General features: G+C 49.5%; 1 protein-coding gene and 1 long non-coding RNA gene across 5 annotated transcripts in view, besides 7 other annotated features; both read right to left on the bottom strand.

Moving 5' to 3' along the window:
- Positions 1–12,496, bottom strand: part of FADS2 (fatty acid desaturase 2) — a 51,152-nt gene that overhangs the window by 37,810 nt on the left and 846 nt on the right. Inside the window, exon 2 of one of the 4 annotated variants that reach the window (XM_047427889.1) lies at positions 948–3,513. The exons of 2 other annotated variants lie outside the window; for them this stretch is intronic. In XM_047427889.1, coding sequence (XP_047283845.1) covers positions 948–1,154 — 207 coding nt within the window. In that variant the 5' untranslated portion in view covers positions 1,155–3,513. Of the gene's footprint in view, positions 1–947; positions 3,514–12,496 lie in introns of those variants that run through there. One more of the 4 variants, NM_004265.4, reaches the window with a different exon arrangement.
- Positions 1,180–1,279: a silencer, noted in NCBI's record as "silent region_3404". NCBI's record gives its function as "represses an Ori minimal core promoter by ATAC-STARR-seq in GM12878 lymphoblastoid cells {active_cell/tissue: GM12878}" and the evidence as "EXISTENCE:reporter gene assay evidence [ECO:0000049][PMID:35858748]".
- Positions 1,300–1,399: a silencer, noted in NCBI's record as "silent region_3403". NCBI's record gives its function as "represses an Ori minimal core promoter by ATAC-STARR-seq in GM12878 lymphoblastoid cells {active_cell/tissue: GM12878}" and the evidence as "EXISTENCE:reporter gene assay evidence [ECO:0000049][PMID:35858748]".
- Positions 1,520–1,959: a silencer, noted in NCBI's record as "silent region_3402". NCBI's record gives its function as "represses an Ori minimal core promoter by ATAC-STARR-seq in GM12878 lymphoblastoid cells {active_cell/tissue: GM12878}" and the evidence as "EXISTENCE:reporter gene assay evidence [ECO:0000049][PMID:35858748]".
- Positions 1,520–2,228: a biological region, named in NCBI's record as "H3K27ac-H3K4me1 hESC enhancer GRCh37_chr11:61594789-61595466".
- Positions 1,551–2,228: an enhancer, noted in NCBI's record as "H3K27ac-H3K4me1 hESC enhancer chr11:61594789-61595466 (GRCh37/hg19 assembly coordinates)". NCBI's record gives its function as "activates a minimal SCP1, AML or CMV promoter by ChIP-STARR-seq in naive H9 embryonic stem cells {active_cell/tissue: H9 hESC(naive)}" and the evidence as "EXISTENCE:reporter gene assay evidence [ECO:0000049][PMID:30033119]".
- Positions 2,229–2,906: an enhancer, noted in NCBI's record as "H3K27ac-H3K4me1 hESC enhancer chr11:61594111-61594788 (GRCh37/hg19 assembly coordinates)". NCBI's record gives its function as "activates a minimal SCP1, AML or CMV promoter by ChIP-STARR-seq in primed H9 embryonic stem cells {active_cell/tissue: H9 hESC(primed)}" and the evidence as "EXISTENCE:reporter gene assay evidence [ECO:0000049][PMID:30033119]".
- LOC124902680 (uncharacterized) lies at positions 5,573–11,525 on the bottom strand. Its single transcript, XR_007062696.1, has 2 exons — positions 8,077–11,525; positions 5,573–6,515 (listed from the first exon to the last, which is right to left on the bottom strand). It is a non-coding gene; the product is annotated as an uncharacterized LOC124902680 (long non-coding RNA).
- Positions 12,181–12,280: a silencer, noted in NCBI's record as "silent region_3401". NCBI's record gives its function as "represses an Ori minimal core promoter by ATAC-STARR-seq in GM12878 lymphoblastoid cells {active_cell/tissue: GM12878}" and the evidence as "EXISTENCE:reporter gene assay evidence [ECO:0000049][PMID:35858748]".

The following is a 12,496-nucleotide window of genomic DNA, read 5'->3' as shown; positions in this document are numbered from 1 at the left end:
GATTTCAGACTGGGGTCCCCGGTGCGGGTAGCTGGTGCGGGGTAATCACTGAGCCACGCATTTGGTGGGGGTAAGGTGGGCAGCAATGGCTCCAGAGAGGCCCACAACCTTTAGGAGTGCAAGATGAGGGAAGGGTGTTCTTGGCAGGATTTAAAAAGAGAGAGCCATTGAGTTGAACGCCCGAGAGTAACCTCGAGTGCAGACGGACCTGTTGCCAAGCCAGTCTAGTGCTGCTAAATCCACCGGCTCAAGGCCTCACTCGACCTGGGCTTTGCAAACCCCAGGCCGTTCTCCTTCCACCAATCCCGGACGCCGGTCCCCAAGAAGGCCGGCTCGAGCTTGGGGTGAGTCTAGATAATCCCTGGAGCGTGGGAACCCGAGCTGCTGGGCGGTTTTTCCCAGGTGGCCATTGAGGAACTTCTTAGACAAGAGTCCCAGCAGGAGCGATCTCCGGCCGGGGACGAGCTTTCCTTCTCGCCACCCAGTCTGGATGGAGAGTGCGGGACAAGCGCGGAGTCCCACACCTGGCTGCCTGCGCTCCCGCTCCTTTCAGCGGCGCGCAGGGGCGGCCATCTTCCCCGCTGGGGGCGCCAAAGCCGTCTGGCCCGAGCGCCCCTCTTGGGGAGTCCCTGCCTCCAGACAAACCCCGAGGAAGGGGAGGACGCGTGGGTCCCGGCGCGCGCGGTAGATGCTTGCCCTGTTCTCCACCGCTGGGACTTTCACCGCAGCGCCGCCTCCCCGGGTCCCAGATCCGGTCTCCACCCCAGTCGGCCCAGAGGAGGAGGAGGATTGGGGAGGGGGTACGAGTGCAATAGATGCACTTTCCTTCCCTACAGGACGTCCCAAGCTCCATTCAGCGCCGGAGGTCTGTTTGGCCCACGGGGAGCCAGGGATCCTGACTCCGCCTGCAGCAGAGAAGGGTGGCTGGGGCGCCCCCAGACCCTTACCGTTGCATCTTCTCCAGCGTAGTGCCCGATGACCCGCTGGCCCCCCGGGTGCTGGATGGACCATTTGGTGATGTTGTAAACCTTGCGGTCAATGACCAGCCACCTGTCGGTGCGCAGGTTATGCTTCTGAATCTCCTCCCAGCTGAAGGTGGGCACCGACACCTCGCGCTCGGCGGCCCCCTCGCCCTGGTTCCCTCCCTTCCCCATGCTGCCTGCCGACTGTGACGCCCCGTGCACTGCGGCCTCCCCGCGCCGGCTGCTCGCTGCACAGACGGCTGCCTCCCAGCCGGTGTGTGCAGCCCGGGCCCTCTTCGCTTTCGGCTTTTGTCTTCTCCTACTCCTCCCACCGCGCCCCCTCCCCCAGCCTTCTCGCCTGCGCTCGGGAGTGTCCCTGCCTTCCTGGCGGAGGATCCCTGGCTTCCCAGTGCCCCCAAGCGGTCCCCTTCCTCCGCCCCTCCCTCAGCCCTCCCGCTATGGACTTTTGCCTCCAGTAAAAACTCCCCGGGAGCTCAGGGCCTCGACACCTCCTCTGCCCGCCCCTCCGGCTCCCCCCGCCTCGGGTTCCACATCCTCCCGCGTTCCCCGCCGCCCGAGTTTCCACAGCGATCAGCAGAGCGCCTGCACCAATCCGGTCGCGTCGCCCCGCCTGCCATTGGCCCAGGAGGATCTTTCGAAGGCCAGCGGGCTGGAGCGGCGGGTCCCCGGCTCCCCCGCCCTCCCGCGTGGAGTCGAGCCCTGCTGCGAGGCAGGCTACGTGTCCGACCTCCTCCCTCCCCCACTCTCCGGCCCCGGGCGCCGGAGGAGATCCTAGAGGAGATCCCGGTGGGGGCAACGAATGGGCTCCGCGCGCTCCGGGGCGCGTGCGCGCACGCCCGGCGCTCTGGGGGTTTGCACCTGATGCCGACACAAAGCCGGCGCGGCCACCAGGGTGCCAGCAAGCGGCCGGGCGGGTGGACCGGCGGGCTGCGGGGCACTCAACTCCAGGGCCGGCTTGGCTAGGTGACGCCCTTCCTTGGCGCGCGGCAGTCGAGACTCCAGTATCCCACATTGTCCGCGCCATCCACATTCTGGCGCCTTTCTGCAACCTCCCTAGAGACACAAGCCGGCCTTGGATTAGAGGGCTTTGAACCCTCTAGTCAGACAATCTTAGAAAAGAATTGCGGAACCTCTGCTCTGCTTTCTTGGTCTGGGCGCCATGGCTGCGGTGAGGGGGAAGGGAGGGGAAGGCAGAGGAAGGGGGCGATGAGGAACTGGCGCGGTCCTTGCCCTGGTCTCAGTAAGCTCAGTCTCTTTGGGAATCGTGGAAGCAGACACATCATTGGGCAGTGATGTTGTGCAGACTCCAGCAAATAAAGACTGCCGTATCGAAGGGATAGGAGGAGGGTTAGGTCTTTTAGGCGTGGGGCAAGAGACAGGCCCCTCAGACCCCAGCTGGATGGGGCGGCTTAGTGCCGGGCGTCCTGGGGGAAATGGGCCTGACTGCATCCGGAGGGCTAACGGGACACGTGGGAAGTAAGGATGAACAGAGAGGGTGGGGTGCACGAGGCTTGGGAATCACTAGAGGAGTTATAGGGCCCTCAGATTTCAATGGGATTTACAGGTGCCTGTGTGCTAGCACACCCTAATCATTAGATTCTCATCACAGGCTGAGAGGTAAACAGGACGCATATTATTACATCTCACTTGAAAATGGAGAGCCTGAGATTGAGAGAGATGGTCAAACGGGCCCTGCCCAATCTAAATTTCACAGCAATGCAGGGGTGGTGGGGGGATCACTCTGCCCAACTGGTGGGGTTGTACTTGGGGGGGCAGATGGGCTCCCTTTCCTCACATTCACACAGTCCCCAACCTCTCCCATCACATTTCATGCTGGTGTCAGCCCTGAGCATCCTTCATTCACTCCACAGACTGCAGACATAAAGACAGTAAGGCCTCTCTGTCTTTGAGTGTGAGCAGACATCCCAAACAAAAGCCTTCTGTACAAAATAAGAGGATGAAGCAAGACCTCCAGAGAGTATGGTGGCCTTGAGGACTGTCAAACGTTGACGGAAATGGAACCAAGAAAATTATTTTCTCAGAAATGGATTAACATACCATATAGATAACTTTAATGAACATTTGTAAAGGGTGTGGAGCTCGGAGCAGGGAGTGATAGCTGAAAGGCAGAACCAGGGAGTATCTCACAGAGGCTTTGAAGGTTCAGGCCCTAAAAGGGAGCACGTATGGGTGGCCTGTGTAGGGTGGCTGAGAAGCGTGGACCGGCCAGGGCCTGGGGTCCCCAGCGGCTCCCAGCACAGTACCAGCCAGGGTAGGTCCTGAAAAAACATAAAAACATGTGTTGAAGACACAAATGAATGAATGAAGTTCAAAGAATGGCTCCAATGAGGCCGGCGGTAGATGGGGCTCAAATTGAGAAAAGCCCCAGCAGCCTCAGTAAGGGGTAGGAAGGGAGGACTTTACCATGGAGGAGGCTTGGACATCCGTAAAGCAGGTGTACTGTGATCAGATCCATGGTGTAGAAAGATAACTCCAGAGGCTGGGGCTGGACTGGGATGTACGGGAGAAACTGGGGAACAGTGATGAGTTCAAAGATGAGGGCAGTGCTCGAGGAGAGGGGAGGGGAGGCCTGAATTAAGAGAGAACTTTAGGGGGCTGACCCCACACTGGACACTGCCATGTGCCTCCCTGCCCTCTAATTTTTTTTTGAGATGCAGTCTCACTCTGTTGCCCAGGCTAGAGTGCAGTGGTGCGATCTCTACTCACTGCAAGCTCCACCTCCCAGGTTCACGCCATTCTCCTGCCTCAGCCTCCCGAGTAGCTGGGACTACAGGCGCCTGCCACCACACCCGGCTAATTTTTTTGTATTTTTAGTAGAGACGGGGTTTCACCGTGTTAGCCAGGATGGTCTCGATCTCCTGACCTCGTGATCCACCTGCCTCGGCCTCCCAAAGGGCTTTTTCTTTCTTTTTTTTTTTTTTTTGAGACAGGGTCTCACTCTGTCGCCCAGGCTGGAGTGCAGTGGTGCGATCTCAGCTCACTGCAACCTCCACCTCATGGGTTCAAATGGTTCTACTGCCTCAGCCTCCTGAGTAGCTGGGATTACAAGCACCCGCCACCATGCCCGGCTAATTTTTATATTTTTAGTAGAGACAGGGTTTCACCATGTTGGCCAGGCTGGTCTCAAACTCCTGACCTCAGGTGATCTGCCCACCTCAGCCTCCCAGAGTGCTGGGATTACAGGCGTGAGCCACCCTGCCCAGCCTAGAATATCCTTTGGAGGTAGAATCAAGACCGCATTAGTTGGAGGTACAGGGGCAGGGGTGATGGTAGAGATGAAGGAATAAGAGAAATAAGTCTGATTCTAGCATTTGAGTTGAGCAAATGAATAGATAATGGGACCATTTACCAAGATGAGGGAACAGAGTTAGTACAGGGGTGAAAAATTAAAAATTCTATTTTAACGTTATGTTTGAAACACCTAGGCTGGGAGCAGTGGCTTATGCCTATAATCCCAGCACTTTAGGAGGCCGTGGTGGGTGGCACCATGCCCAGATAATTTTTGTATTTTTAGTAGAGATGGGGTTTCACCATGTTGGCCATGATGGTCTCGATCTTCTGACCTCGTGATCTGCCCACCTCAGCCTCCCAAAGTGCTGGGATTACAGGCGTGAGCCACTGCACCCGGCCAACACCTGATTCTCTCTTACTGCAGAAGGGTCTCCTCCATGTGACAAAAAAATATGGCTGTATTTGCTAAGCTACGCTAGCAGAAATAATTCTCCCCCATTCCCTGCTCCCAAGGATTAATTCCAGTTTAATGGGCTCTGCATCAGATGCTAACCATTGGGCCACTGTTATCAGACGGCTGAGTTACTCTATTAGGTGTAGGTCATAAGCCAAGCAGCAGACCTGGGCTTTGGGGAACAGGGTCTGTTCCTTTTTGTGGGAAGTCACAAACCAAAAGCAATTACAGACCGCTACAGTATTCCTTTCCCATACCTACCATGTGATGTTAGACCTCTGTCTCTGACCTTCAGTTTCCTCATGATAAAAAGGAGACAGTGATTTTTCTTTCTTTCTTTCTTTCTTTCTTTCCTTTCTTTCTTTCTCTCTCTCTCTCTCTCTCTCTCTCTCTCTCCCTCCCTCCCTCCCTCCCTCCCTCCCTCTCTCTCTCTCTCTCTCTCTCTCTCTCTCTCTCTCTCTTTTTTTTTCCCCCAAGATGGAGTCTCACTCTATCCCCCAGGCTGGAGTGCAGTGGTGCAATCTTGGCTCACTGCAACCTCTGCCTCCCGGGTTCAAGCGATTCTCCTGCCTCAGCCTCCCGAGTAGCTGGGATTACATGGCATGTGCCACCACACCCAGCTAATTTTGTATTTTTAGTAGAGACAGGGTTTCTCCATGTTGGTGAGGTTGGTCTCGAACTCCCGACCTCAGGTGATCTGCCCACCTCGGCCTCCCAAAGTGCTGGGATTACAGGCATAAGCCACCGCACCCAGCGGAGATAGTGATTTCTAACCTATCTCATCTATTTTAATAACGAGGCTCAAAGGACACAAGGTATGTGAAAGTGCCATACATGTATTTTCTTAACTAGCAATATTGGTGAGGTCAAACTTTAACCAAGCTCACTAGATAATGATTTATTAATATGTGGTGAAAGTCATAACTATTTTTAAAAAATGAATAATTTTCAACAACAAAAATGGCATCAACTTAGTAAGTGCATCAAATTTAGATGCCTTAAATGACAGGCTGGGGACCCTATCTAAGAAACTGGGTTAGGCCAGGCGTGGTGGCTCACACCTGTAATCCCAACACTTTGGGAGGCCAAGGTGGGAGGATCACTTGAGCCCAGGAGTTTGAGACCAGCCTGGGCAACACAGTGAGACCCTGTCTGTACAAAAATATAAAAAATTAGTTGGATGTGGTGGTGCATGCCTATAGTCCCAGCTACTCGGGAGGCTGAGGTGGGAGGAATGCTTGAACCGCAGAGGTGGAGACTTCAGTGATCCATGATCGTGCCACTGCACTCCAGCTGGAGTGCAAGACAGAGCAAGACCCTGTCTCAAAACTCAAATAAAATAAGCTGGGTTATTATCTCTAGGTGGACATTGATAAAAGGTATGGTATGTTAGGTAAAACTTTAAAGCACAGATTGCTAGTGCTGGAAAGCATCTGGACAATCTCTTCACTTTACAGATAAGGGATCCGAAACCCATAGAGGTGGACATAATGTCCAAGATTACACAGCAGTAGGTGGACTAGCAGGTCCAGGTTGCAGGTGTCTCAACTACAATCCTTATTCTTTCCATTCTACCACATTGCCTCCCTTCCTTGGTACATTCTACTGAAACTTGATGGATCCTTCTCCAACTCTGAAGTGCACAGAGAATAGAATTTGAGATCTTCACATCCCAGAGTCTAGTGCTTCGTTGCTGCATCTTTAGTGCTCATAGTATTGGTGGAGAGGTACTTGGTCAAGGAGCTGTAGGACACCATTCCTTTCCTGTTCTGGTGATAAGAAGTGCAGTAAAACTAAGGAATGCATACTAAGTGCTCGAGGAATACCTGTGAAATAATTCAGCAGTAAATTGGTAATTTGGCAACAAATGACAAGAGACTAAAAATGTTATTACCTGATCCACTAATTACACATGTAGAATTTATCCTAAGAAAATGTTCAGAAATAGAAACCAATATCTATATACAAAAATATCCATCGCAACATTTATACAAGCGAAACTTCTACACAAATGTCCAACAATAGGGAAAAAGTTAAGTATATTGGGAGTATATATATGTGTGTTTATAGATATATGATGACTTACTATAGTGAAGTAAATATTCTCATTATAAAATTTTAAGCTTAGCTTTTTTGTTTTATTTTAAAGAGAGATCATTTGTACTGGAAAGTTACATTAAAGGCCCAGCAAAATGCTTACAACAACGCCTAGAGGACTCCAGACCCATTCCCCGGGCAATCTGAAGATCTGGGACCTACCTACCCAGGCCTCCCTTCTCCCACTTAATAGAGGCAGGTCTGAGGGCCTGGGAGGAAGAAGGCACCGCAGAGAAGCAAGGACAACAGCCTTCTCCTCTTTGAACCAGGGTGGCCTTATACCAAAACATTTATTGAACTCACTGCTAAGGAACTCATGTAGAGAGGAACTAAAAGTTATAAATAAGTTCTGGGGTAAATTCTAGCCCCAAATATACTAAATTTCATGTGTGGCTTCAGCTCTTTGGATCTGTCACCTTGTCTATAAAACAGTGGGTTTAATATATCTGTCCCTAAGGCATCTATATTCTATACAATGATAAGAAGACTGGGCCGGGCGCGGTGGCTCACGCCTGTAATCCCAGCACTTTGGGAGTCTGAGGCGGGTGGATCACCAAGTCAGGAGATGGAGACCATCCTGGCTAACATGGTGAAACTTTGTCTCTACTGAAAATACAAAAAATTAGCCAGGCGTGGTGGCAGACGCCTGTAGTCCCAGCTACTCAGGAGGCTGAGGCAGGAGAATGGCGTGAGCCCTGGAGGCGGAGGTTGCAGTGAGCCAAGACAGCACCACTGCACTCCAGCCTGGGTGACAGAGCGAGACTCTGTCTCAAAAAAAAAAAAAAGACTGCATTAAGGAAATCCCGTGAATTCCTCCATGAGCCTGCCTCTGCCCCATCCCAATCTCCCACACTCTTAGAATGCAGCAAAATGAGAGTCCTGTTTCTAGCTCTCGCTCTGCCTCTAATAGAGGTATGATTGGGATTCTCCCTTTAGTTTAAGCACTATATGTCATAAATTATTTTTAATATTACTTAACATTAATCTGCAGAATTATTACAGATGACTTTTCTTAAAACAAAGACTGATTCTGTCAACTTTATTAGTGCCTACTGTGTTGTAGTCACTGCACCCCCATAAGTTATCCAATTTCACAGAAATCCAGATTTTTCAAAAATGGTTTTGGTCTTTAATGGCCTGAAGGGCTGCTACTGAGGGGAGGCTGCAGCAGAGGCTGAGCACAACCGGTATTGCTTCTCCTATATGTGTTGACTTTGTAAAGGATCCAGGCTATTGGCCAACTATTATGTTTAGGATCTTTTGTTAAAATGGATCAAAATTTGAACTCACAATTCAGGTTATTCCAACAGCCACTGGCAGTTAGGTTATTCAATTATGGCTTCATTACAATCGGCATTAAGGTCTTTTTTTTTCTTTTCTTTAGAGAGAAAATGGTGGGACAGTTAGGAAGGGGTCTCACTATGTTGTCTAGGCTGGTCTCCAACTCCTGAGCTCAAGTAATCCTCCCACCTCAGCCTCCCAAAGCACTGGGATTATAGGCACGAGTCACTGTGCCTGGCCTGGCATTAGGGTCTTAAGCTCATTTCGTTCTGTTCCTTGAGGATTAATTTGGCCAGAACAGTTAGTATTCACAAGTGGCAACCTAAAATTAAGTATGTGATTCATATCCAGGATGAGGCAAGTTCCCTTAGGATCAACAGGGCCTGCAAGGCAAAGGTTTCCTTTAGTTGACCTGGATATGGGTTTATTGCAGTCTGTGTGACCACCTGTGTAGGTGGGTAAGGAGATGAGAGGGCAACACGACATTTGCCTAGTGGCCTATAGGCTTACTCACCTGTATTTTTTCAGGTTGAAATCATCAGTTGATTCAGCAAATTTTTTATTTATTTATTTATTTAGAGACAGAGTCTGGCTCTGTCACCCAGGCTGGAGTGCAGTGGTGCAATCTCGGCTCACTGCAACCTTTGCCTCCTGGGTTCAAGCGATTCTCCTGCCTCACCCCCACAAAGTAGCTGGGATTACAGGCACCCCCCACCACACCCGGCTAATTTTTGTATTTTAGTAGAGACAGGGTTTCACCGTGTTGGCCAAGTGGGTCTGGAGCTCCTGACCTCAGGTGATCCGCCCTCCTCACCCTCCCAAAGTGCAGGGATTACAGGCATGAGCTGCCACGCCCGGCCAATTCAGCAAATTTATGTGGGATTCCACCTAGAACTCCAAACCAAGGTGCTCTGAATATGTATTGGTAGTATAAACAGAATCCACAGCCCTATCCTGGATTATAAGCTCGTTAGGGAGGTAGCAAAATACATGACACTGACCTAAGAACACATGAAAAGCAAAGAAACATGAATGCAAAGTCATGTCATATAAGCTGTTTAAATCCTGAGTAAGATGAATTTAATTTGCATCTATCCTACTGACCTATAATCCGTGACTCACTTGTCTCTCTCCTCCAGTAGACATGACTAGGCATGACCCATATAGTACTGAACTTTGTATTCCCAGCACCTTACCAAAGTAGGTGCTGGGAATACAAAGAGGAGACACCCCACAAATGTTAAATAAAACACTTAATGAATGGTTCTAGGTAGGTGGGGTTGATCAAGGAATTATCTTACAAGTGGTATGGGTTTTTTGGTTTTTTCTGAGGTGCAGTCTCACCATGTTGCCCAGGTGATTCTCCTGACTCAGCCTCCCAAGTAGCTGGGATTACAGGCACTAATTTTTGTATTTTAGTAGAGACAGAGTTTCACCATGTTGGCCAGGTGGGTCTCGAGCTCCTGGCCTCAGGTGGTCCACCTGCCTCTGCCTCCCAAAGTGCTGGGATTACAGGTGTGAGCCACCGCGCCCAACCTAGTCTTTTTATAGAACAGTTATCTCTGTAGCCAAACTTACATCATATTATTTAATTTTCCTTGATTCGGGGGAGGGGGGAGGGATAGCATTAGGAGATATACCTAATGCTAAATGACGAGTTAATGGGTGCAGCACACCAACATGGCACATGTATACATATGTAACAAACCTCCATGTTGTGCATATGTACCTTAAAACTTAAAGTATAATAAAATAAAAGATTTACATAAAACATTTTTCCTTGATTCTGTATTAAAGGAAAGATGACATTATTTTCAATGTCTGCAAAATATTTCACTGATGGGCATTTAGAGTGTTTCCATTTCCCGCTATCATAGATACTGCTTTAATGAATATTTTTTGTTTATAAATAGTTTTCTTTTTTTGTGTGTGGATATAGAATCTTGCTTTGTTGCCCAGGCTGGAGTGCAGTGGCACAATCTCGGCTCACTGCAACCTCTGCCTCCCGGATTCAAGCAATTCTCCTGCCTCAGCCTCCCGAGTAGCTGGGACTACAGGCGCACGCCGCCACGCCCAGCCGATTTCTTTTGTTCAGGCTGGTCTTGAACTCCTGAGCTCAGGCAATCCGCCTGCCTCGACCTCCCAAAGTGCTAGGATTATAGGCGTGAGGCACCCCGCCTGACCTATAAATATTTTTCTAAGAACATTTCCTTAGGCTATATTCCTAAACATGGAATTATTGGGAACATTTTTATTTTTCTATTTTTTTTCATCTCTTCAGTATTCAAAACATTCCTAAATTCTGGCCGGGTGCGGTGGCTCACGCCTGTAATCCCAGCACTTTGGGAGGCCGAGGCGGGCAGATCACGAGGTCAGGAGATCAAAGCCATCCTGGCTAACATGGTGAAACCCCAACTCTACTAAAAATACAAAAACAAAATTAGCTGGGCGTGGTGGCGGGCACCTGTAGTCCCAGCTACTTGGGAGGCTAAGGCAGGAGAATGCCATGAACCTGGGAGGTGGAGCTTGCAGCAAGCTGAGATCAGGCCACTGCACTCCAGCCTGGGCGACAGAGCGAGACTCCATCTCAAAAAAAAAAAAAATCTTAAATTTCTATATAAGTTGTCAAACTATTTTTTCCAGTTTAATCAACTTACACTTCTACCAGCAGTATGAGAGCTTTTATCCCACTGCACAGTCACATAGGAAAAATGGTTTATGTAAAGGACCTCTCTTCTGTTATTTAATACCCATGAATTTCTTATATAGTTGTAATCAGCGAACCCATACTACTTTGGGTTCTGCTTATTTCACGGGGAAGGATTCTATATCTATCAATATAGTTCACATTCTAGCCATTTAAAATCATTCTTTAATTCTTCATTGTGTTAACAGATCCCAATAAGCTTGGCGATTTTCTTATTGTCAGGACTCGGGTTTATTTCCAGTTTTTGCTATTAAATTGGCTATTTCTGCATCTTTGCACAGTCTCCCCTACTTTACCAAGAGTGAAACTGCTTGATCAAAGAATAGAAAATGTTTTGTAGCTCGCATTAGACACTGCCAAGTTGTTGGGCAAGGTTTTTAAAAAAGGAATATTGGCTGTACAGAGGTGCAGCTGTGTGGACCATCATTCCTGAGCAGGGTCCAATAGCCTGGCATCTTACCTGGAAGTCAGGACATCTAAACTTCCCTATGGGAACTTGGTAAGCCCCTTCCCCATTTCGAACCTCAATTTTCTTATCTATAAAATGAAGAATTTGGATGGAATGAATTAATCCTTTTCTACCAGAAATCTAGCCATATTTCACCTAGTCTATTCTGTATCACCCTCTCCTGACTCCTACGTGCTCAGAATCTAGCTCAGTGCTTGGGACAGTTATGTTTCCTTTCCCTTTGAAGTGCCCAAATACCAGTGTAATGAGAAATATGGCAGAGCCTGAGAGTTCAGAGCACAGGCCAGGGTCAAATCTCAGCCCTCCACTTACAAGCTGTGTGACAAAATAACCTCCCCCGGGCTCAGTTTCTTCACTGTAAATTAGGTTAATTGTTCCAACCTCATAGGGTTGTTAGGAGAATTAAATGAGTTAAGGTTTGCAAAACGCTAAGAACAGTGCCTGGCACACAGTAAGTGCTTTATAAAGTGTTTGTTGAATAAATAAAATTTTGGACCTAAACTCTGGGTCTCTTCAGGACTGCAACAGCTTTGTAACTGGCAACCCCACTTTTAGGTGCGTTCCCACTCCTCTAAAACCCAGAGATCTAAATGCCAAATCTCTCTGCTTAAAAAGTCTCCCAGGGCTCCTAGGCGCCTCCAGGCTAGAACAGAAATGCCTCAGCTTGAAGACCCAGGCTTTTCAGGTGAAACACCTAAGGGTCAGGAGACGCTAGGATCATCACTCAAGGATCCCAGTGAATTTTTCCAAAATACAATAAAAATAAAAACAAAAAGAGGCAAACAGGGTTATAAAAATTGTGGGGCATTTTAAATGTTTCATTGAACAAATTAAAGCATTAACAGCCCTCCCCCAACCACCACCAAGCCCAAGAGACCGTAAATATGCTGTTCACAAGATAACTGCAACTTTCAAGGGCTCTCAGGCTGCTACTTCGGGCAGCACAATTGGCGGCACGACGTGGCAAGCAGGCAGTAGTTTCCAACCCTGGAGGGTCAGCGTCTGGAGACCCCGGCCAAGGCATCCACAGCCTAAAGATGATGTCCGCGACCGCCCGGGCAGCCTCGTGCACGGAAAAACCTCAACCCCGGCCCCGCCCACCCTTCCTGCGGCCACCCCGCAGCCCTGGCCCCTCAGTCCATTCACTCCTGCAGCGCGGCCCCGCACCCAGGGCCTGCACTAGAACCGCTGTTCCTACCGCGGCGCCCCCTGGGAGCCAACGCCGCGATGCCCGCCTGACGTCAGGAAGTCGA

The sequence above is a fragment of the Homo sapiens genome, chromosome 11 (genome assembly GCF_000001405.40).
Source record: "Homo sapiens chromosome 11, GRCh38.p14 Primary Assembly".
Taxonomy (NCBI): Eukaryota; Metazoa; Chordata; class Mammalia; order Primates; family Hominidae; genus Homo; species Homo sapiens.
The sequence above is the reverse complement of the archived record's forward strand: the minus strand, read 5'-3'. Positions and strand labels throughout refer to the sequence as shown.